This window comes from Homo sapiens, chromosome 4 (genome assembly GCF_000001405.40).
Source record: "Homo sapiens chromosome 4, GRCh38.p14 Primary Assembly".
NCBI lineage: Eukaryota > Metazoa > Chordata > Mammalia > Primates > Hominidae > Homo > Homo sapiens.
Genome location: NC_000004.12, coordinates 108,947,073 through 108,972,422, shown reverse-complemented (window position 1 = coordinate 108,972,422; position 25,350 = coordinate 108,947,073). Strand labels below are relative to the sequence as shown.

The 25,350-nt window shown below is 35.7% G+C and overlaps 1 protein-coding gene across 11 annotated transcripts in view, besides 1 other annotated feature; it reads left to right on the top strand.

The window, feature by feature from the left end:
• COL25A1 (collagen type XXV alpha 1 chain) overlaps positions 1-25,350 on the top strand; it is a 493,934-nt gene that overhangs the window by 330,236 nt on the left and 138,348 nt on the right. Inside the window, exons 1-3 of one of the 11 annotated variants that reach the window (XM_011532358.2) lie at positions 5,818-5,834; positions 5,954-6,087; positions 7,439-7,574. The exons of the other annotated variants lie outside the window; for them this stretch is intronic. Of the exons in view, the coding sequence (XP_011530660.1) occupies positions 7,566-7,574 (9 nt within the window). The 5' untranslated portion in view covers positions 5,818-5,834; positions 5,954-6,087; positions 7,439-7,565. Of the gene's footprint in view, positions 1-5,817; positions 5,835-5,953; positions 6,088-7,438; positions 7,575-25,350 lie in introns of those variants that run through there. 11 annotated transcript variants of the gene reach the window in all.
• Positions 2,032-2,201: an enhancer, noted in NCBI's record as "experimental_71593 CRE fragment used in MPRA reporter constructs". NCBI's record gives its function as "activates a minimal promoter by MPRAs in K562 erythroleukemia cells, with activity observed for the introgressed 4:109891463 variant allele {active_cell/tissue: K562}" and the evidence as "EXISTENCE:reporter gene assay evidence [ECO:0000049][PMID:34662402]".

Here is a 25,350-nt window from a genome sequence, read left to right as displayed (position 1 = left end):
AGTAAGATGAAGGTTCTATATTTCAAAAAACATCAAAAGCAAGAACTGGAAAAGTTTCCAATTTTAATGAAAATTAATTTTACCCACATTCTCTATTTAGGCACGGTATTCTTGCTGATGATGACCAAAGGCTCTCTTTTTTTTAAATGTAGAGTTTGTATTCCAATACCCTGTCCATTTTCATCCTGTTGCAGATTTTGAATTACGCTTTTTACCATTTGTTTCCAATAGTTTATTTCTTCCCATAAATAACAATGTGAACTCCAAACTCCATCATGTCAGCTCTTTGTCAGGTGAATTTCCATCATGAGACCTATATCATTTTCTTGAATATTTGGAAGTTTTAACTCTTTGACTCCCCAAGTGTCCAGTGGGAATAAATTAAGCCATAAGAGGTAAATCGAAGCTGGAAAAACTTGAAGATCATATAGAAATTAAGAATGTGAGACTATTTTTAAGTACTTGGACATATATTCAGCAGTATATATTGAGCAGCTACCATCTTTAAGATACTGTGCTTAATACTATAGACACAATAAATGTGTCCACTTATCTCTCTCTTCTACTAACCACCAAATTCAACTTACTTTCATGTTCTTGATTACTTCAGTGGCTTTCCAATTAATCTTTCTATTTCCACTCTTAACCTTATATAATCCATTTTCTACACAGCAGGCAGAGAGATCACTTGACATTGTAAATTAGATCATGTTACTCCTGTGTAAAACTTTAGAATGAAATCCAACCTGCTGTGCTTAGCTCTTGCCCATCCCCACCAGTTCATCTCACACTAGTCTTGCCTCCACCTACAACACTCAGCCACACACTGTCCTCCATGTCCTCTTCAGACACACTGCACTTTCACCCAACTCGACAGCTTTCCATTTGCCCTCTTCTGGTCTTCTTGTGATTGGGTTCTTCTTATCATTGAAACTTCATCTCAAATATCACCTCCTCTGAGAGAACTTCTCTAACTACTCAATCTGAACCAGAGATTATTCTATCTTGTTTATGTATTTACTTGCTCATTATCTATAAAGTATGCCCCCCTCCCTCCTTAGGTCCTATATTCCATAAAAGCAAGGTTCTTCTCTGTCTTGTTCATACCCCTTCACATAGAATAGTGAAGATTCAATAAATATTTGTTGAATGTATGAATAAAATATTGTTATATCATTATGGCCCTCAAGAAGCTGATAATTTCATGGGTACCTGAGTAAGAAAACTGTGTGGTTATATGTTATATCCCTCAAATAGATATACCAAGAGGTGCTAGAAAAGTGAAAATTCTTTCATTTTAAATGAGCACTGTCAACTGTGGAAGAGGTGACACTTGAGCTAGAACTTGATAAATTGGTAATCTTTAGGAGGATACACTGAAGAGCAAGACAGTACATATTCCAGGAAGAGGAAATAGTATAAACAATATTATCCAAGTAGAAAATGGCAGGATTTAGTTAAGGAACAATAATATTCCATTTGTGATTTTTAAAAATGTGGTATACACAATGGAATACTATTTAACCTTAAAAAAGAAGGGAATCTTTTCATTTGCCAACAGCATGGATGAACCTGAAGGACATTATGTTAAGTGAAATAAGGCAGGTACAGAAAGATAAATAACTGCATGATCTCACTTATATGTGGAATTTTTAGAAGTTGAATACATAGAAGTAGAGCATTTAATGGTGGTGACCCATGGCTGGTGGGGAGGGTTTTAGGAGATGTTGGTCAAAGGATACAAACTTTCAGTTAGATAAGAGGAATAAGTTCAACAGATCTACTGTACAGCAACGTGACCACAGTTAATAACAATATATTGTATTCTTGAAAATTGCTGAGAGTACATTGTGTTCTCACCAAAAAAGATAAGGATGTGAGGTAATACAAATGTTAATTAGCCTGATATAGCCATCGCATGATGTATACATATTTCAAAACAACATATGTAACAGTATATATATAATTTGTATTTGTCAATTAAAAGTAAGTTTTAAAAAGGACCCTAAAAAATAATATTCCATTTGCCAATAAGTAGGTTAAGTAAAATATTGTGTCATATAGATGGAAAATTTTGGATTGAAGTTATATTATGGAGCATTTTGAATGTCTAGCGTGGTAGGCATTAGAGAGCCATTGAGAATTTTGAGTAATCTGTGCTTATCTTATTTTGAGACTATCTGTGCTTATTACCAAATGTTCTTTATAAAAATATTTTAGAGGCCAGATGCAGTGGCTCACCACTGTAATCACAGCACTTTGGGAGGCTGAGGTAGGCAGATCACCTGACATCAGGAGTTCGAGACCAGCCTGGCCATCATAGTGAAACCCCATCTCTACTAAAAATACAAAGAGTAGCCAGGCGTGGTGGCGAGTGCCTGTAATCCCAGCTACTTGGGAGGCTGAGGCAGGAGAATCACTTGAACCTGGTAGGTGGAGGTTGCAGTGAGCCAAGATAGCATGATTGCACTCCAGCCTGGGCAACAGAGTGAGACTTGGGCTCAAAACAATTATTTTATATATATATATTTGGTGGTAGCATCTGCTATAGAATACAATTGGAAGAGACTGAAAGCAGGGTGACCAAGTAGACCAGGAAACTATGTCACTCATTTAGGACAAAGTCATAAGAATCTAGGCTGTACAGACAATGTCCAGTCCTCAGTGGAGAGGTAAGCAGAACGGATGAGCTGACTTAGCATGGAACATCAGGTATCATTGGAGGCAAGGACACATACTGAGTAGAAAGGTCAGTGTCAGAGTAGAATTTCAGCGGGGGTTAGGGAGAGAGGTGGAGTGGGAGGTGGTAAGTTGATGAACCAAGAAAGAGATTCCAAAGTGGTCACCAAAATACGGACAAAAGCTCCAATTTCACCATGAAAGCTAGGATATGAGTTTATTATTCTCACATAAAAAGAAGTTTGGAGAAGGCAGTTGATAGTGTTATGTATATAATTAAATGGTGTTACTGTTGATTCAATGATGTTACTAAGTCTGTGAATCTCTTGGCCTTGTCTCATGATTGCAGGAAGCCTGCTTCAAGTCCAACCATTGCATCTAGGCGTATATCAGCAGGAAGGATAGAGAGGAAAGAGTCTGAATCAAGAAAGCAACATTTTCCCTATGAACTTCTTAGTAGACTTCTGGTCATGTCTCATTGGCTAGGTTGTGTCACACAGTCATCCAAAAGCTGGAAGGGACAAGGGGAATAGGGCTGAAAGGGAACTTAGGTCATCCAATCAATAAGGTTTACCCCAAGTGCCAAGCAAACACCTGAGTAGACAAAGAGGGAAATCAGGGCTGACACTGATAGAGGAGCATTTGGTGAGGGAGGAGTCTTGAGGACACTTGAACAAGTGTCCCTATTCAGCTGACACTGAGGACCTGTGACCCTGGAGTTGTAGTCAGGTTAAAGTTTTTTTAAAAAGCAGTCAGGAAGTGAAATGGAAAGACGCTGAGGTGAAAATTCAAGACCAGTCTTGAAGCCAGTTGGATGTAGGGGATGAAGTTGAAAAAGAAGACAAAGATAGGGCTAAAGTTTCTGGCTTGATGCTTGATAAAATAGGTCAGAAGAAAGTTGGGAGGATAAGTGAGAAGATGGATTTTAATTATGTTGAATTCGTGATCTTGATGAGATATTTCATTGGAATAGTGTAACAAACAGAAACATGAGACTAGAATTCTGAGGCAGTGCCATAACTGGAGGTAACTGTTACACAGCTGAACTATCACAGAGGGAGAATTGAAATCCTGGAATTAGAAACATGGTAGGCAAAAGAGTAAGAAGAGTACTGCCCTAGAATAGAGTCTTTAAAAATACTCACACTTACGGAGTGGGATGAGGAAGGAAGGAGTGTCAGCAAAAGGAGAGCATTTGAAGGTAGAAGCAGGACACTGCATTGTGTGAACACCACACACAAAACTACTTAAAAAAAAAAAAAAGAGTGGCCAATATAATATTCTGAATAAAAAGAGAGCCTCAGGGATGAGGTCTTTCAAAAGCCTTTGGATTTGCTGTTTTGGAGTCATGGGCTATTAAAGGAATATCTTTTGTTAAGTAGTGAGAGTGGAAGTCAGATTGCAAGAAGTTAAAAGGTAATGGTAGGAAAGTTGACCGTCTTTGAATACAGTTGATGGCATATGATTTAATGCAGGAGAAAGTGGGCTAACTTTTCGGCATTAACTTTCTTTCAGTATACATTGAACCAATTTCAGGCCTACAGTTTTAGGTGTAATATAATAACCACAAATATCATTTGGTTTTATTCTACGAGGCACTGAGTGTTAGATTTCCACAAATGAATGCATCCTGACATAAGAATTGTACTTCCCGCCTTGATTCCTGGGGAGATGTCATTGCAGATTTGCCACTAATCTTTAATTCATTCTTCCAAACACTGCATTTCATTAGGCCTTTAGGCTTAGGGTTGGGATGGTGCTTTATCTGTGCTGTCGGTCACCACGCATAGAGTATCCGGGCGTAAAGAGATAATTGATTCTCTTTATTTCATCCTCATAGCTTTGTATTGCAAAGTTTTGAGGCTATGACTTTACCTTGTATTTAAGTAGAGATTACACAACCTGCTGAAAGGAAGTTGTCGGGGATTCCTAGGTTGAATAAGAAAGTTGGACTAGGAAATAAGACCTCACATAATAATTATAATTGCCTATAGCTTAGTCTTACAACTTGCTGGATACTTTTCTAGGTAAGTTGCATACATCATCTCTAAGCCTTACTATAGTGCAGAGAGATAGATTATCAGGGAGGAAAACGGGAAAAGTGGATGCAGTTGAGTAAAATGATTATCCACATGGGCTGAAGTCAGGCTGGACAGGGATCAAATTCTAACTACCACTATCTATGATTATGATCAGGATTAATAAAGTAGTATATGAAAAAATCTGTAATAAGCTCTCAACAAACCATACCTGATTTTTCTTCCCATATTTCATATGAGGAATATGGGGTAAAGTAACTTGCCCAAGTTGACATAAATTGTAAGTGGTAGAAATGGGATTTAAACCTGGCTTTCTCAGCTTCTAGTTTGTTCTGTTTTCAGTGAACAAGACTGCTTCCCTATCAATAAGGTAGTTGTTATAAAGTCATCAACATTAATGTGAAATGATAGGGGTTACAGAAATATCTGTGTTTGAAATAATAACAATAAGGATACTTTAATTGAGTTCCTAAAATACGCCAATCACTCTATGATGTCACACCTTATTTCAACAACCCTATGAAATACTTACTTTTATTATTCTCATTTAATGGATGAGGAAACCAAGACTTAGAAAATTTAAATATTTTGTCCAAAATAATAATCACTCACTGGCAGAACCAGAATTTGAACCTAGGTATTTACAGACTACATTTTCCATGTATTCTCTCATTTATCCTGTAAAGTAATGCTGTAAGTTAGTAGAACACGTATTAATAAAACTTTTCTTTCTTTTTCTTTCTTTCTTTTTCTTTCTTTCCTCTCTTTCTTTCTCTCTTTTTCTCTCTTTCCTTTTTCCCTTCCCTTCCCTTCCTTCCTTTTCTTTTTTTCTTTTCTTTTCTTTCTTTTCTTTTAAGACAGGGTCTCACTCTGTTGCCAGGCTGGAATGCAGTGCCACAATCACGGCTCACTGCAGCCTCAACCTCCCAAGGCTCAGGTGATCCTCCTGCCTCAGTCCCCCGAATAGCTGGGACTACAGGCACACACTACCATGCCCAGCTATTTTTTTTAATTTTTAGTAGAGACAGGGTTTCATCATGTTGCCCAGGCTGGCCTCGAACTCCTGGACTCAAGTGATGTGCCTACCTCAGCCTACCCTGAGTGCTGGGATTACAGGTGCGAGCCACTGCGCATGGCCAACTTTATTATGATTTTTTATTTTTCTGATGAGGATTGAACTCAAGCAGATTAAGTGACTTGTTCAAGTTCTTTCACATACATTTACCAAAAGACAGTGTTGGGACTCAACGCCAATTTCAAATCCTGCTATCAAGCTGCCTCCAGATTGCTGCTAGGAACCCTTTCAACTTGAAAATCCCAGGCCTCTGTGAATAAGACTGAAAAAGCTGGGGAACACAAGCACAAATAGGTGGATATTTTTTCTTTGTAATTATGATAGACTCAGTTTATGCAGGCCACACACTGTCAACCCAACAGAAAACATATGAATGGATGAATGGCCATATAGTAATACCCCCCAAAACATAAGTGAATGAATGATCACCACATAGTAATACCCTAGAAACTGTATGTCACTGAGTAATACCTTAGAACTCACTATATGGAGCAAAGAGAGGCAGGGCAATGTTGGCCCCCCTCCAAGGATTGTAAGAACACCCAATTACCTTGTTATAATACAGATTTTACTTCTCAACTCAATAGCACCTATTCGAAAATTGTATATATTATCACACCAGTCTTAAAAATTTTTTAAAAAGAAAATTGCATATCAAGATCTTGCTTATACTTGCTATTAGTAATTGTTTCTTCAGGATAACCAGATGGATGAAATTTGTTTTCTGCTCTTCATAATGCTGAGTTTGCATAACCTATAAGCTATGTTGTTGTTCCACTTTTATTCTAAGTCCCTCTTTGCAAAAAAATGAACTTCATTTCTTTATCAGTAACAGAACTTCAGTGTCAACTGTAAAAGTCTCAAGACTTTTAATGCTTCTCCCGTTGTCATCTACACCCACTACTGCTACCGCTGTCTCTCTTCATCATTAAAGAGGGCTTTTTGTTTGCCCAGTTCATAAGAGCCTCTGCCCTCATCATGAACCATAGCCCTGGAATCACAGTGACACCCAGGGCTTTGATGATAATGGCTCATATTTCTTTTCTCTATCTTAGTGACTTAAAAACATAGCCTTAAAAATAAGCAAAGCTGTTGTAATGTTTAATAATGACTTTTTAAAATGGAATACTATGTTTTTCTGAAATTGTGGCAAATTTATTAATCAAACTTAGGCAATAAAATGAAGAAACGTCATGAAGTTATCTTTTGATTATATATTAATCTTCTAATCAGTTGGTTACTATCACCTTGCCAAATAACACAGAGTCCTGATAAATAGGAGATTTAGTGGTTATTGGTCTCGACATCATCAGCCAACAGCTGGTTTTAAATGAGTCCTAAGCTCTCACAGTTTCAATAAGCCACCCAGAAGCTCTGCTTCACATTTTCATAAAATTCCTTTCTCCTCCTAGTGTATTCGAGTAAATTTTCATAACAGCTGGGACTATGCAAAACTGATAGCATCTTAAAAACATCTTTGGCAAGACAGATTAAGTTCCAGAAAAGGAAAGCATTTAGAAGTTTATTTTATTATCTTAACCTTTGTTGACTTGAATGATTAAAGATTTTTTGGCTCTGCTAAAACATTTAGGCCTGGATATTAATTTGATGTCCTTATTTGTTTAACCCTTGCCTTTCTCTGTAGCCTTAATGAATATACTACTCATTGGGTACTGAATGTATTGCCTGAGAAAAGGGAATGGATATAACACAATGGAAAGAAATAAATTATGAGAAAATTATTTTAACACTTTCCAGATTCAGAAGCTGGCATGGAAACAGTAAGCTCATTAAGATTTGCACATGTTCTTATCATAGGGATTTTCTAATCAGAATTCTCTTTAGAGTGTTCTGTGTCATACTTCAACCCACTAAAAAGTTGTTGCATTGAATTGAACCCAGGAATATTTGTAAATTTGTCCTAATATCGGTCAATTTAGAAAATAAATTATTTTTTACAAACAATGGTAGATGTGTTGACAATATTTCCTTGGAATTCAGTGTTGTAAATTTTATCTCAGTGTTAGTGGTTGAATGGCTGGGCTCATCAAATATGAAAAAAAGAGATTTGGAAAGGATGAGGAATAATGGCTCTACCTATATTATGTCACTTTAAATCTTGTATATATGTCCTTAAAAGATTATGTAAGTAAATCTATCCCTACTGAATAAATATAGTAATTCAGTTGAGTAAACTTTTATACAAAATATATGAAAGTAAGAAGGAACATTTTGCAAAATGCTTATATATATAAAATAGTATAGTAGTGAAATGCCTGAGATGTGAGCCTTTAACTGAAAATTCTATTAATGACCACAGAGATATTAAAATCAAAACCAAAGCCAAAATCCAATCCTAAGCACATCCTCTGACAAGAAATCCTGGAAAATGATACCAACCAGTTTAAATAACGATTGGATTTCCTTTTTGTCTTTTGAGTACAGTGACCTTCATATGTAAATAATTATTTGATTATTTACATTATTTATTTTAATTAATTTTCTTATTTACTATTTATTAATTTATTAATTTAATTTAATATTCACATTATTTAATTAAATTATTCACATTATTTAATTATGATATTATTTACATATGATATGTAAATAATTATTTCCATTTTATGGAGTAAAGAGATTTCATTTGTCCACACTTTTCTGCTTATTGTTCATGTAAACTGCAATATTATTCTTACTTTTTCATGTGACATATATCCCTGGATGTATGCCTTATCTTTTCAGGCTTAGGGGCACTATTTCACATTTTTCTTGAAATTAAGTAGAATGACATATTTTAATCGAAAGAGAATATATTTGTATATGTATATATTTAATATTATTCCATTTATATTTCTTTTGTTGGGATTTTTACAAGTGCTGCTTTTTATAAAATATTGGTTACATAATTTAAAGACTTCCTTGATAAGTAATATATTAATAATCCTCTCTCAAACATGAAACTATACGGAAGGTTTTATTCTTTGTCTTATATTTAAGCAAGCTTTTTTACTTGAATCCAAATATAAGATTTTTAGATTTATTAATTCATGTAATGTAGAGCCATGAGTTGCACTAACGCCTACAATGGAAGCATATGCTAAAATGTGAAGGTCGATTTGGGGTTGATGACTTTCAATATTATATAGAGAATGTAAGGCTTTTAGTAAATATACTAAAACCTGTATTTGAAATGGACAAAAAAAATCCAATTTATACTTTAGCTGGTAATACCCATGAATAATGAACATATTGTGGATAGAAAATACAGCAATTTATAAACAATTTACACTAACAAAATTGAACATTATTACCACCATTATTTTTGTATCACTCCCTAATATAGAATTATAGTTGCAACTGGAAATATTTGAAGTGAATTAACCAAATAGAAGTCAAGAAAGCATAAAACAGCAGATTTTAATGGTGCATCACGATTTACAGAAGGGACTGGAGGGCAGGATTATATTTTTGATTCTTCCCTTCAGAATGGGTGGAATAATGGCTTATGCATTGACAGATGATGTTCAGGGAGAACAGTTCCTGTAGGTCTGAACAAGATGGGTCTCTGGAAAGTCATTTAATGCCAGACAGCAGCATCCTTTCATAAGCATACCTGCACTAATGTGTCCAGCAGCCCCCTGTAGCAGACACAGCCTGTAAATCACAATTGGCAAACAAGACTGGCTTTGTAGGAAAAGGATGTCAGTTGCAAGGCCCTACTTCAAATGTAATTCTACAGTGACTTTGGGGGAGTGAGGAAGGTTTGCTTTTCATCTCTTAGAAGCCAGTTAAACTTTGCTTGAAAAATGTTGATATTGAGAGAAACCTTTATTGATCACTAGTGGGTTTTATTAGCACAAATGAATTATTTAACACAAACATAGACAATAGTAATAATAATAATAATAACAATACTGTTGGTTTTACAGTTCCACGTACCAAGAACTTCCGGGCATTCTTATCATGCTTTATAAGCTTGTGAATTTAGCACGAATCTGGTTGACAAGAGTCAGTGATGGAAAGGTAGTATCAAAAACCTCCAGTGTAGCATTCCAAACCATCAAAGAACTGGTTACATAGGATACTCTTTTCAGTACAGGTATTTTAGTCAGCTTCAGGCCTAAAGTAATTCCTTATAATTAAGAATTAAGGGCCGGGTGCAGTGGCTCACACCTGTAATCCCAGCATTTTGGGAGGCCGAGGCGGGTGGATCATGAGGTCAGGAGATCAAGACCATCCTAGCCAACGTGGTGAAACACTGTCTCTACTGAAAATACAAAAACTGGCTGGTCGTAGCGCCTATAGTCCCAGCTACTTGGGAGGCTGAGGCAGGAGAATCGCTTGAACCCGGGAGGTGGAGGTTGCAGTGAGTCGAGATCCTGCCACTGCACTCCATCCTGGGTGACAGAGCGAGACTCCGTCTCAAAAAAAAAAGAAAAAAAAAGAATCGAGGTAGAGAAATGGTGGTGGAAAACAAAAAGAGAGAGAGAAATTGCCATGGCAGAGTGAGAGTGCTGTCCTGGCTTGAAGCCTGTGGGATGCAACGGGAAATGGCAGGAACTAACTGTAACATTAGGAAGGACAAGAGAACAACAGGTGGTAATTCCTGTCTCATTTGCGATGTCTTCAAAAGAACATGTCAGCCTGAATATTCTGTTTATTGGCAGGGGAAGAAAAATCTAAGGGAGATACAATCAAATTTTTAATTAAGAATACATTCAGTTGTTTTCAAACATATTTTTATTACTTTGGCCTTTCATCAGGCTTATTATTTTTAGAGGCTGACTTAATTTACTTAGCTAGACTATTAAAATTGTGGCCCAATCTTGAAATTTCTTGCCAAAATCTTGACCTTGTCATCATTGAAAGGAAGCCATCACTTTGTTATATTTCCGGGACTGCTAAAGGGAAATTCTTCCACTGGTGAGGTAGGAAGTACAGAATGAAGGAAGTGACTGAGGGAGTGATGCCCAAACACAACACAACACAGCACAACACAACAACAGAACAGAACAGAACAGAACAGAACAGAACAGAACAGAACAGAACAGAACAGAACAGGAGAACCTTCTGAGATGTGCCTTAGTTTGAAGTTGCATATGCTGTCATCATATGCGACTGAAAACTAAGTGGCAAATCTTGCAAAAGACAATCAAAATAATACGTTTTGGATTGCCTTTTGCAAGATTTATGAATTACTTCTTATATTAAGAATTATCAAACACTTGCCTTTTATAGCCAGTTGTTTAAAATATTGTACTGTATCTCATTCCATATGCTAGTGTGTGAACGTATTTCAGTTCTCACTGATAGGAATTAGTCTATCTCTAGGTATATTTTATATACACATCTCTGTGTGTGAATACTTACTCATAATTACACTCACCAATAATGTCTTTATGAAGCAGAGTTGTCCATAAATACAGATTCTCCACATATGCAAGATCTAAACATGCACAAATGTGAACCTATTCTTGTTTATACTCTGATTCCTGTTAAGAAAAGATAGGTGAATGTTCAAAGCAATCTATGAAGCTTTTTAGATTAACTTGATATATCTTCCTTAGCTTTTTGCACAAAAATTGTTAAGCTCCTCATCTTCTAATTAATTGTTTTTTAAAAAGTATTTTTCTATTCAGTGTAGCATTTCAGGATTAAAGAGAATGTAAATTAACAATAATTTAGTGCTACCTTGCATACCTTAACATGCAAGGAAATCATTCTTAATATTTCTTTGCAAAGTGAGATGGAAGCAAGCACAGTGGAAGTTCTTGATGATCGCATCAAAGACTGGCTCTGACTTCCAAATAGAGTCCACACACGTTTTCAAGATAATCTTGAAAAGCAAATATTTACCTTGACTTCGATCTTAGAGAAAACTTGGAGACTAATTCAAGAGACAGATGACTTTTCTTAGATATATCTTTTCTTTCTATTTCGTAGTGGTTGAAGAAGATGGTTCTAGAATGCCAGCACCAAAGCTTCCTTTTAGGAATGTAAACTTCTAGATACAAAGGGGGCTCTAACGTAGTCCTTGAATTTAACAGAAGTTATAGCAGCACTTTGTAATTTTTCAGCCTTGATTCTTCCCTATCCTCAGTTCATTTTTTATCCTACTGAACTGTGCTTTGAGAACATAGCATTGAAAAGATTTTAAACCACTGGCATAATTTTATCTCATGTTTTGAACACCAAAAATTACTGTATTTTGTCTTTGGTAACATGGCTTATAGGCATGATATGGTAGAAAGCCACTAGCTACAATTTAACCATTTTTATTAATGTTTTACATTTCTTTGGTGGTATATCTTCGTTTTTTAAAAAATGTGTAATATATTTGACAATCACTATAATTTTGATGATGAAAAGAATAGTAAGGAATATGTTGTCTCTGAACAATCTCTTTTTCTTTCTCTGCCAAATGGATAACTACTGTTTGTGTTAAGAGCTTTACCCCACTACACACATTATTTCATTTTCTGGCATAGATAAACACATTATTTCTATGTTGACAAAGTGAATTTTCTGAAGGATCTTCTATATTAGGAAACTCTAGAATACAACATTATGAAGCCATTCTATTTTTGCTGCCTTTTTAAATAAGTTCAGTACAAAATCACTTTTCAGTCTTGCAGCCTTTTCTTTAGTAGTCATTTGCAATTATTCAAAAATTTTATAAAAGGAAATGAATTTTGAGGAGTTTCAGGAAGAGGGGAATATCTGGAGATCTATTAGACTTTTTGGATTTGTTCAGAAAGCTAATGTAGAGATTTACAACTTCACCCTTCATTTTACATTTTTAGGCAGAAAAGTCAAACAAAATTGAATTGGAGAAAGCTTGCTATGTCACCAGTACAATGTTGAATGTTAGTGCTGTAACTCTATACTGGTCTGTGGTATTACTTCCACTTTGGAGCCATGTACTTCTAATAAAATGTGTCAGAGAAGAATGCAAAGTTTGAGTCATTGTATCTACCCAGAATTGTATATTATAACTGTTACAATAAGTCAAGATTTTTAGAATGTGTCAAATGTAATGGCATGTGCCAACAGGGTTGTAGTTTGAGAAACTGTCACAACTTATATGGAATTTCTTTTTAGGGCAGGGTCTGACACCTTTGGTTGTAGTGGGGAAAAGGAATTCAATGTCTTTATTTTTTCCTATTACTGGAATGTGTTCACTATTTGGTGCAATCTTCCTTCTATATTTTAAATTAGTAATTCACAAAGGAGCAGATTAGAGGCTGCAAACTGGTAACCTGTGAACCAGATTTTGGTAGTAGATACATTTCATTTTTCTTTCCCAGATTAGTTGCTAATATTGGGCAATTTCATATAAATCTTATTTAAAAATTTCTCTTGAGAAATTTAAAAAGCTGGCACCATTGAGTTTACCTTCCTTTATAAGGAAGGTTGGCTGAAGGTGAATGGAGTCTGTCTGCTTTAGGTAGGACATGCATTTTGGATTATCCCCAGTGACACCCAACCTGTTCCATTTACTTAAATATGCATGCAGTTTCTGTTGGCATTGGAGTTTGCAATACCTGGATTAGATATTAAGATGATTTTGCTTTTGATGTTATGATGACAGAGTCCATCAAAATATACAAACACATAGATCACAAAACAATTATGAATCATTTACTTTCTAGAAAAAAAGGCTATAATAGTGCCTTTAACATAATTACATACTGTTTATTTTAAAATTTATCGAATTATTTTTATACTTGTGGTTTTCAGTCTGTGGTAGTGTAGAATTTTTATTAGTATACCAGTCTGCTCAAAGATTAAAATTAGTATAGTTTAAACTTGGTAGTTTTACATCAAGATTCCAACAGAATTTATGTTATCTTCAAGATTTTTTTGTTTAAAATATAAATTATAGAATAACAGAATTTTTAGAAAGTTAGCACAGTTGTAGATAGAATAACCATCGTTAAGTAACATGTAAATAATGTTAAAAAGATGAATTTTAGTCTTTTAATTGCATATGTTTAAAATTAGAAACATAGGAGACTTTGAGGGGGAGAATTTCAGAGTCACTCCTTTAAGGAAAAATGGGACTCTAAATTTCAGAATTTCCTAGAGGTTTTTTTTAAAAAAATGTTGGTTTATTACCTAAGATGATCTAGCTTAGATATCTTATATAGGTCATTGCCAAAGTTCATAGATATTTAGAATCATATCATATTTAGTTGCATATGTTTTCATTGTTGGACCCAAATAATTTCATTTATAATACTAGTCCGTATACTTCTAGAAACACCCATGTTTTAAGTTATTATATATATTTTCTGGGTTTTCTTTGTGCAGTTGGGTTAATGGAACATTTTCCCTTATAAATATTTCTAACAAAATTGCCCTGTTGAGGCACCAAAGAGGAACAAGATCATGAATTGTTTGGAGTTACCCCTTATGGTTGTATTGACAAATCTTAAGAGGAAGAACTGATTTGGGTCAGTATTATTTGATTTTTTTTTGTTTGTGTCCACCTTGATATAAAAATAAATTGAAAGTTAATTTATCTGAGTGCAATAAATATAGAATTTAATGAGATCGTCCAAAAGTTAAAAAATAAAAAAGACAACATAAATAGAATCCTATATGGTAGATTATATTTCCTTTTATGGGAAAGAGTTGAATGCATCTGAATTTTTTTTCTTATAGTGTTTTAAACTATTGGGTAATATAAGAGGTCACATTTTGCTTTTTATTAGAATTAAAAATGGTTTGACAGTGCCAGAAAGGCTTTCTAGATAAACGTTAGTTGTCCTATTTTAAAAGAGTGATGAGGGGGAAGATAATATGGATGAGAGAAATTCACTTGCTGCCTCATCAAACCTTTTCTTATAACTGCAAAACAAACCCACTTCACCCATTTAGACAATCGGCCCTGCCAGCTAATTACCTAAAAACTTCTACGGGGTGTCCTAGGCTGAGTTTTATTCAAACATTTTCAGTAACAAGGAACTCACTCTTTTAAAAAGCAGACTATTCTAATCATAGACAGTTCTAAGATTACAAAATAATTCAATCATTCATTCAACAAATATTTATTGTTCCTTCTTTTGAATCAACATCTACCGTTTTCTACTTCCTATACATTTAGTTTCAGTCCTGTCTTCTGAACTAATTATTCTTCCACATGACTATCCTTCAGTGGTTTATAGAAACACTGAAGCTCATGGGTGAAATGAACCTTAAAGCTCTTCCATTACTGGTTACATTCTTTGACAGTGATGGCCCAGCCTAAACTGAATACACCATGTGGTGGTGGTGGTGGTTCTGCTCTGTGCTCTCCCTTCAGTTTTCAGCCTGTTTAAAATACCTCTCACGTCCCATCTCATCTTCTCCTGCTCCAAGCCCATCTTCTTCATCCAGTCCTCATGTGAACAGTTTTTCCCCTCTTACCGTCCTGGTTCTGTATTCATGCTTCTATGTCCTCCTTAAAGGATAATGTATAGAAAGCAAACACATTTATCCAGGTGGGCCTGGATAAATGTGTTTGGGATAAAACCTACCTGTGTATGTGTCTGTTTATGTTAATACAGTCTGGAATTAGATGAGCTTGAAATAACATTGGCAGCCATATCATATATTAATGTATAAATTTACTGACTTAAATTCTAAAATTTTTTTTACTGTTACTATTAGCTCCTCAATTGTGTATTTATGTAACTTGTTTATTGGATTCACACACCGTTACTTTCTTTTATTCCATGTTAGTATACCACTCTCATCATTCCATCCTGTTGAGGTCCCCTCTGGATTCTGATTCTGCAATCCAACAAACATTACATTTCTTCCTCTTTCCCATTTCCTGGAGATTTGAGATATAGATGTAGAAACAGACATTCATGTAGAGACAAAAATCATTCCCACACCCAAAGTTTGAGAGGACTGTTTCATTAATACATATATTGAGGCTGGGTGTGGTGGCTCATGCCTGTAATCCCAGCACTTTGGGAGGCCAAAGCAGGTGGATCACCTGAGGTCAGGAGTTCGAGACCAGTCTGGCCAACATGGTGAAACCCCGTCTCTACTAAAAATACAAAAATTAGCTGGGTGCCGTGGCACGCACCTGTAATCCCAGCTACTCGGGAGGCTGAGGCAGGAGAATCACTTGAACCTGGGAGGTGGAGTTTGCAGTGAGCAAAGATTGCGCCATTGCACTCCAGTCTGGGAGGTAAGAGCAAAATTCTGTCTCAAAAACAAACAAACAAAAATAACATGTATTAAACGGATCAGTCCTGAGGTCCTGAACTGTGTGACTGGTTAAGTATTATTATCTGTGTAGATTGTTCAACCAGTTATAAATCCATTCTTGTCATTGATTTTCAGTTCAGATTTCTCAATATACAATCTAAGGATAATATAAGAAACCTCGGCATACCACTTGCTGAAATCCAGTTACATAAGTGCATCCACCTACTAATAACCCTTTTAAAAAACTAAATAAAATTAGTATTCTGTTATAAATTTTCACCAACAATCCTTTTAATAATATATTCTCATCTTAACTTAGGTCAATACAAATTTTAGCAATCTGTATATACTTCACAGAGCTACCTTTTTCTCTCTTCTATTTCTTCTTGCACTTTTCACAGTTCCCAAAAAAATGATACGAATGGTTGAATAATTTTTTTTTGGCAAATGCTCAGTATTTTGAAAGCTGTTTATTTGGCTAAAACACATTTATATTTGCAAAGTTTTCATTAGTAATCTCTTCACTTTTCTTGGCATTTAATACACCAGTATTTGTGGCAATGTTTAATTCAAACAACTATATTTTTTTTCTGTTTGACAGAGAATTAGAAGCTAAATAGGAACTGGTTGCTACTGCTTTCTTCTATCAACTATTCACATTTATTGTCAGTTGACTGAAAAAATAGATCTATTATTTTATTATGCTTCTGTGTCTGAATCTAACGGAATATACTCTTTTTGTTGCCCTTAGAAATTCCTCCCAGTCTTCATGGAGCCCAAGTGCTCCTGACACAGATCATAATGTTCCATGCTACTCTTCTGTGTTAATCCTTGGATTGACTTTCACTTCCTTTTTTATTTCCTTCCTTATTTGTAATCAAGATATTCATAAAGAAGGAAATCCTACAAAGAATAGGAGAGGGGAAGGGAAGTCCACTCTGCAATTTGTGAATTATTAGGCCCTTAGTAATTCACAAATTGGATAATTACGCCTTGTACAAAAGTTGACTCACATTTCCCTTGAAAAATCTTTTTTTTTCTTAGTCAAATTCGTTTTGTGCCACTTTTCCAACATTAACTTCCCCAACATTTCACAAGTCAAGAAACATGGACAATTGAACAATTAAAGTTTATGAAGCTTAATCTCAACTCTTTATAATGTTATGAAGCTTCATCCCAGAGCTATAAAATAGTAACTTCTTACTCTCTTTAATGTGTCTTACTTGCTAAAATCCCGTATCACCCAGGTAGAATGATTGACAGTCCCTTATGTGAAAATAAGCAATTCAATTTTAATAATGACATGACAGACATACACCTTGTAATTTTTTAACCACATATGTGAGTCATAAAACTTGTAGTTAATGAGGTGGTAGAACTGGTCACTTATCTCGGTATCCCAGATGCCACCTGGTTTTTAAAACATAAACTTTGTTGCTATGGGTACTGAAATCGAAGACCCATTTTAAAAAAAAAAAGATTTATAACATACATCTGTAGTTTGTAAATTGGGCTATTGCTTTTAGATATTTTAAGATATCAGAGAAAGTTTTTTCCTTGGTCTTGATTAGTTATGGTTTCAAACCCAGAGCATTGTCATTCCCTTTTTTTCTCTTTTATTTAACAGCAAATAATGCATATATATCATTTAAAATTTACTAAGTTGAAAGACCATGTTACACTTTGAATTAATTCATGTAACCATAAAAAGAGAAAATCTTTTTTTTCTATTATATATGGACAATTTTCTTTGATAAATGGAATATTAAGTACATTTAAATAAAGAAAGAATTGTTCCTATTCAAAATTGCACCTAAGGCATATTTTGAGCCCTCATTTTCAGTAACGAAGACAATCTAATCTTTACTCTTGACATTTTTGTCTGCCTTATTATTATCTAAATTTGGAAGCATAAAAGTACTTGAGATTTGGAAGTATAAAAGACTTTTGAGGTTAAATATGAATATTATCAGTGTAGTTATTTCGAGTAAATTATATGTGCGAATAAATATCACTTTTAAGAATTAAATATAATAAACATGATAGCATGTGATACACTATTTAATATAAAAAATGTACTGCATTTCGTTAAATAACAACATTATCAACCACAACTAGGAAATTAAAACCAAAAAGTAGAAAGTTTATTTTATGATTTTTCAATATTTATATCATTCTAAAGTTTAGATTTAATTTCACAGAAGTCAGGAAATTCGGTTTTGACATTCCCAGAGAAACCATAATTCTCATGTAGATTACAACAGCCTCTTTCATTAACAGCAAATCATGGGACTCCTCCCAAATGAATTAATCACTATGGGAAGTAGCTACGTCCTTTTCGAAAAGGAATTATACTTTCTTCTGTTCTTATTCCTGCTAGAGATAGTGTATAACAATCATATTTTGACATTTTTATGATTTAAGAATCAGTGTTCTGAATTACAATGTGTAATTGATACAGAACCAGTAACCCTTTCCTCAAATGCTAATGCAACAAAATAAAGTTCTATCAGTTGGGCTAAGTGTGCTATGAGGCAAAGTCCTACAGTTGTTTTGTTTGTATTTCACCACTCAAAAACACTAAATCAGAGATCTTTAACTGGTGATTTGTGAGAAAAATCCTACTATCAAATGTATTTTCATTTGGAATATAAAGTGTGTAAACTAAATTTGAATTGTTAACAAACATCAAAATCTGAAGCATTTATTTTTTCTTAAAAAAAGACTTTCATTTCTTGTTTCTCATGGAGCAGGTGAAGATGTAGCCACACTAGGTCTGCTTTCATCTGTGGCAAAAATCAAGGGATTAGTTATTGTTTCCTTTCAGCCCCAGCTTCACTCTTCTATTCAGCCAAGTCTCCCCACTTCCTTTTGTCTTAAACCTGCTTCTTTATTTATATTGTCTGCCAAGTTCTTATAGTCATTTCAGTTTACTCCATATGTACAAATGACATCAAATATAAAAATAATTACAGGATGTTCAAACGTCCTAAATTGCAATAAATATTTTAGCCTCTTTGGGAAACATGCAGAGTTCAGGGATGTCCTCAAGCAACAGACTCTATTTTACTTTTGTGTAATTGAACAAACCCTGAGAAAACTACAAAATTAGGATTTGAACTAAAGGAGGATGTTGGAGAATAGGACCAGATGAACTAGTACAGAAAGGTACCTATAAGAGTACCATTGCAAGTAATGTTACTCCCTGCTCTACTGTTCCAAGCAATCCATTACCTTTTTGTTGCTAAGGTCACTTTTGAAGAGTTCAGTTATCCCAGAGGGCTGTCAGGCATTTGCTGTGGGCTAAACCTTATTTAGGGTGGATGTTAAACTTCAGAGGTATACAAGGAAGTACAGGATGATTTTCCATCCATTATAGGCATCTACTTCTTCCATGAATAGGAAAGAGGCTACCATTAAGGGTGCATGCCCAAGGAATTTTAGAGTCAACTCAATCTAATATCAAACAAAGGATGTTTAGCAAATACTCATTAAACCAGAGTACTGAATAGAGTTCCCAGAGAATGGCAGGACACTTATGCTTTCTCTCCCAGCATGAAACATGCCAAAAAAAAAAAAAAAAAAAAAAAAAGTTGAGTTTTTCTCACAGGCTGCTGAAGAAATGCCTGTTTTCCCTTTAGTGTCAGGTGCTCTGTCAGCTACTGATCTTCTTTCCTGATCCATGCTATGCCTCCTCTCCCAGATGTAGACTGTTTCCTTTCAGAAAATGGATAGGATATATTCAAGTTGAGATGAGTCCTTGACCTGGCAACCTCAACTGAAGAGCACCCTGGGTTTTATAGAAATGTAGTTCCAAAATATTATTGTATTGCATGCTATTTTTATACTGCGCCATCTTAGAAGACTTTTTGACAATTAAAAACTGTAATTTGAGCTCCACAATTCAAAATTTGTATTTCAAAGGCATATTGCAGGAAATTCAGATGGGGCTGAATTCAAGCCCACTTTTACACCATTTTTGTTTCCACAGGGAGGTTTAAGCAGATTTTTATGCAGTGTTTGACAATCAAATTGACCTTCTAAACAGGACTTCTGGAGAATTTTTTTCATTTCATGAAAAGAAAAAATTTTCACAGTTTTTTTTTGTGTTTATTTGCAAAACAGATTCTAATTATAAATGTGCTTATTTATTCATTAAAGCAATTAATTAAAAGATGTATACCAGATAATTGATCATACTAGTTCTCATTAATATGTAACACTGAAATCATAAAAGTAGATTTATTTTTAATTACTACAAACTGGTATAAATTATAATATATAATGCAGATTGCCATATATTGAGACAGGGCATTTTTTAGACTTCTCTATAATTAATACATTTTATTGTTCAAACCCACATTCATTTCCTTAAATTCAAAACTTACCACTCTTTCTATAATCTTTAGTTCTGCTAAAGAGCTCTTTGTCATTAATTTTGAACTAGGCTCACAATCCCTTCTTAAAACTCTTATTAGTCAAGTGTGTTTCAGAACTTACGGTTTTTAGGAATTAGAAAGTTAATTTAGTTCATGCTATGCATATTGTCTGACACCCTTAGGGGCCTGAGACACCCTGTAATCAAACCATCAAATTCTACAGTGAAACATATGCATATTCACACTTAGAAGGATTATTAATGACCATAAATAGCCTTACATCTGTTCAAGTAAGTTTTTGCCATCACATAAGTTTCCTGCAAAGAGGAAAAACTTTAAAACTTAAGAAAAAATATTTTGGCTGGGCGCGGTGGCTTACGCCTGTAATCCCAACGCTTTAGGAGGCCAAGGTGTGTAGATCACCTGAGATCAGGAGTTTGAGACCCACCTGGCCAACATGATGAAATCCCATCTCTACTAAAAATACAAAAATTTGCCGGGCGTGGTGGTGGGCACCTGTAGTCTCAGCTATTCGGGAGGCTGAGGCAGGAGAATCACTTGAACCTGGGAGGCGGAGGTTGCAGTGAGCCGAGATAGCACCACTGCACTCCAGCCTCCATGACAGAGCAAGACACTGTCTAAAAAAAAAAAAAAGAAAAAAAAAGTTTCTAAAAATGAAAAAATGTTTATCTTCAGAGACTTTGGATTTTGGAACTGCAGTTGAAGGATCATGAACCATATCTTGGCTTTTAATCTGTTCTTTACTTTTGTCAGAATTGTCTTCCTCATACTCACATGGCATGGCACCTTCGTTGTATAAAAACCTTCATGGCTTTCCACTACTTCCCTCTTGAAGCTTCTTTTAAGACCTCCCACATCTGTGCCCTATCAATTTTTCCAGGCATTTCTCTAAAATGTGTGTGCTTCACCACAGCCAAACTCACCTTACCAGAATTTCCTGAGTGTTCCTTCTCCTTTGTTCACTGTGCTACAGACTGGAATACCTTCTTTCAGAAACCTCCAGTCCACACTTCACTGCAATGCCAGGGTCCTAATCATCTTCACGTGTCTCAATTTCTACCTTTATGGGAGTCTTACTCCAGTCCTCAGACAGAATAAGCTTAAGTACTGCCTGCTCCTCTAACCAGAGCACTAATTTAACACATTTTCCATGTGGATTGACATTCATATGACAATTCCCTGTCACCCATTAGATTTGAAACCCTGCAGCTTCTTTCGCTGTACTTGGCGTATAGCATGTATTCCAGAGACATTTGTCACACGAAGGAATGCATGTTTTAGTTCATCTCTCTTGTTCTCATCACTCTGACCTCCCACAGGAATCCTTATAACCCTTTGCCATTGCCCTTATCCTGACCTTGCCCAAGTTGAAGAACAGAGTCTACGTCTCAAGGGAGAGTTCCTAAAATAGAACCTAATCTCTGTATACCAAGTGTTGATTCAGTATGTCTTTAGAAAAGGAAAATATATTTTCTGGGTTTTTCCAGCATTCATCTAGGCGGAAGTATCAGGAAGGAAAGGTATTGTTGCCCTTTGAGAGTGGCTAGCCAGAAGGGTCTCCTAGTGTGTCATGACTGCACCTATGGGGCATGGGAATCTTTCTGCTACTTCTGTGTAGTGCTTCAGGCAGGGGAGTCCTTTGCAAGGCTGCCCACACATGTCTATCTGGCACGTCACATGGCCATTTCTCTGTGGTGTTGCTTTCCTGGAAGTGCTGCTGGGAAGCAGAGCTTAGGTCCCTCTTTGCTCTCAGAGACTACAGATCTCTTTCCTCACTTCTAGTTTGGTGGAGTGTCTTTCTAGGTATTTTTCATTGCTAGAAATGTTGGTAGACAAGTTATGTCTTGCACTCTGCCTCCTCATGCCTCCTCTGAGGCCCTAAGCAAAGGGTCGTCTAAGAGCTTGATGCAGGAGTGGGGAGGAAATGAAAAAATACAAGAGGAAAAGAGCGTGGATAAATGTTAGCAAAAGAGATCCCAGCCACATTTGAAGTTGCTTGTTTCATGTCTGCCTGCCTTCATACATTCTAAGCTCCGTAAAGCCTGGTATAAAGTCTATCTTGTTTACCGCTCTAATCCCAATGTCCAAATATTGCCTTGGTCATTGTGTGATTGTGTCAAATTCTTATTGAATAAATGAATAAGTGGAAATGAAATTCATAGACTATGAAAAATTTATGGAAGATATGGGGCTGGGCGCTGTGGCTCATGCCTGTAATCCCAGCACTTTGGGAGGCCGAGGTGGGAGGATGATGAGGTCAAGAGAACGAGACCATCCTGGTCAACGTGGTGAAACCCTGTCTTTACTAAAAATGCAAAAAAAAATTAGCAGGCGTGGTGGCACACGCCTTTAGTTCCAGCTACTTGAGGGGCTGAGGCAGGAGAATCACTTGAACCCAGGAGGTAGAGGTTGCAGTGAGCCGAGATCGTGCCACTGCACTCCAGTCTGGGTGACAGAGTGAGACTCAGTCTCAAAAAAAAAAAAAAGAAAAATTTATGGAAAATATGCTGGTTAAGATGGTTGACACTGGAGCAGGTTGTCAGGGGGTGACTCTTGGCTCTGCCACTTACAATTGGGTGGGCAAGACCCCTCACCTCTTCGTGTCTCAAATTCCTCATCTGTCAAGTAGTTGGTGTGAGGATTAAAAGAGTTAATATTTATAAAACTTTTAGAAGAATACCTCACTCAAAGAGCATATCATGTAAGCCTTTACCACTATTAATGCCATCATCACCATTGTCATTATTTATTATTTTAACTATTATTAAGAAACCCTAAGACAGTACTGTTCTCTTGATGTTTATTTATAGAGAATAGCTCTGATCCAGTTCTAGCAGAGTGTATATAAATAAAATCAATACAGTTTTATTTTTCTACATCATCCCAGACTGCAAGGCTGTTTTATTTTTCTTCCCTATATTCTGTGTCTATACTTCTCTAGTGCACTCAGACCAGGAAAATGCTTCTTCAGGAATTCTACCTCTTTTCATGGGGTCTCATCTTCTGTTGGCTTTTCTTAGGTGTATGTCATTAGGGAACACTTTACAACAAGGCCTGGAATCCCCTAATAGATCATATACAACAAGTAGAGCCTTTGGCCCTATATGAATAGTTTAGGCACTTTTCTTATACTTTGCATTTGCCAGTGTTGAAGTGTATCTGCCGTCTTCTTATTCATAGATCTTTTGCAGGCTGTCTTCACTTACTTAGCATTTTAGTAGCTACAGTATTTAATGATATTTGTTCATACAGAGATTGCATTGTTTTCTTTCTCTTCCAAATAACTTATAAAGTTACACTTATCATCGACATATAAAAAGACAATTCCTGGAGTGACTAGGGTTAATATTTATGATAAAACATAGTAGAATGGAATTCAGAGTATCTATAAAAAAGAAAAATAGTCACTTTTCGAGCCACTTGAAAATATATTCAAATAACTTGTAAAATTTACACTTATCATTTATAGACAAAAAAAGATAATTCCTGGGGTGACTAGGGTTAACATTTATGAGAAAACGTAGTAGAATGGAATTTAGAGTATCAATAAAAAAGAAAAATAGTAACTTTTTGAGCCAGTTGAAAATATTATATTCAACTACAGAAGGCTAATTCTTCCCATAATTAATAATACCATGAGGCAATCTTTTATCATCAGTTATAACTTCTGATTTCCACAGGCCCCAATTCTCATATTACATGATTGTTCAAAAATTCCTTTAGCTGTTTAGCTTTATATAGTTGATTTTTCTATTCAGACAGATAAATTATACCATCTACTGCAATATGGAATGATCTAGCTGCAAATTTCTTTCTCTTAAATTCTTTTCTTTCTTAATTTAGCCTTCTAGCAGTTTCTGCTAAACTGAAGCAATTCTTTTACCTAAATATTTTTGTACCTTATTGTAGTATTTCCCCATCTGGTCTCTCTTAGCTAGAAATTATTTTTATCAACTTTGAGGAGTATTTATCTCTATTTGTGCTGCACACATGCCCACTGTGATGGTCGTGTTGTAATGCATGATGTATTTTGGGCAAACAGAATCATGATAGTATTTACATTAAAGAGAGACTTGGAGATTTCATTTCTCAGCATAATGCATATTTTTTCTTTCAATATGACTTGCTATTGGGGCCCCTTGACTCTTCATAATTAAAATAATTATCTTTTCCTCCATAGCCCAACAACCTCAGGTACACTCCCTTGTGCTGATCAATGATCAGCCATTGTCAGTGACACTGGCCATTGTTAACCTGTTCTTCTTATGAGTTATTTATGTGCATTTAGGCAGCATTATTGATGATGCAATAAACAGCAAAGTAGAGTATATGCATCTATCATTTTGAGTCATTTGCCTGACTAGAATTTTTGTGAGGAGAATTACCATTCCTCCTGCTTCTATAGCCACTCCTTTTCATCTTCTTTGTAGTTGCCTCTTCCCCTGCTCATCCCTTAAACCTAAGTCTTTTGAAGGGTCTGCCTTCTCTACAGCCTCCCTAGGTGACTTCAGATATCTCTATGGCTCATAATTCTCACCTTTCTTTCTTTCTTTTCTTTCTTTTTCTTTTTCTTTTTTTTTTGAGACGGAGTTTCATTTTTGTTGCCCAAGCTGGAGTGCAACAGCACTATTTCGGCTCACTGCAACCTCCGCCTCCCAGGTTCAAATGATTCTCCTGCCTCAGCCTCCCAAGTAGCTGAGATTACAGGCACCCGCCACCATGCCCAGCTAATTTTCATATTTTTAGTAGGGACGGGGTTTCACCATGTTGGCCAGGCTGGTCTCGAACTCCTGACCTTGTGATCTGCCCGCCTCAGCCTCCCAAAGTGCTGGGATTATAGGCATGAGCCACCGCGCCCAGCCATTTCTCACCTTCTATTTTATATGCGTGTCCAACTGCTGTCCCTTGGCTGTCCACAGACATCTCAAATTCAGTGAATCTATAGCTGAAT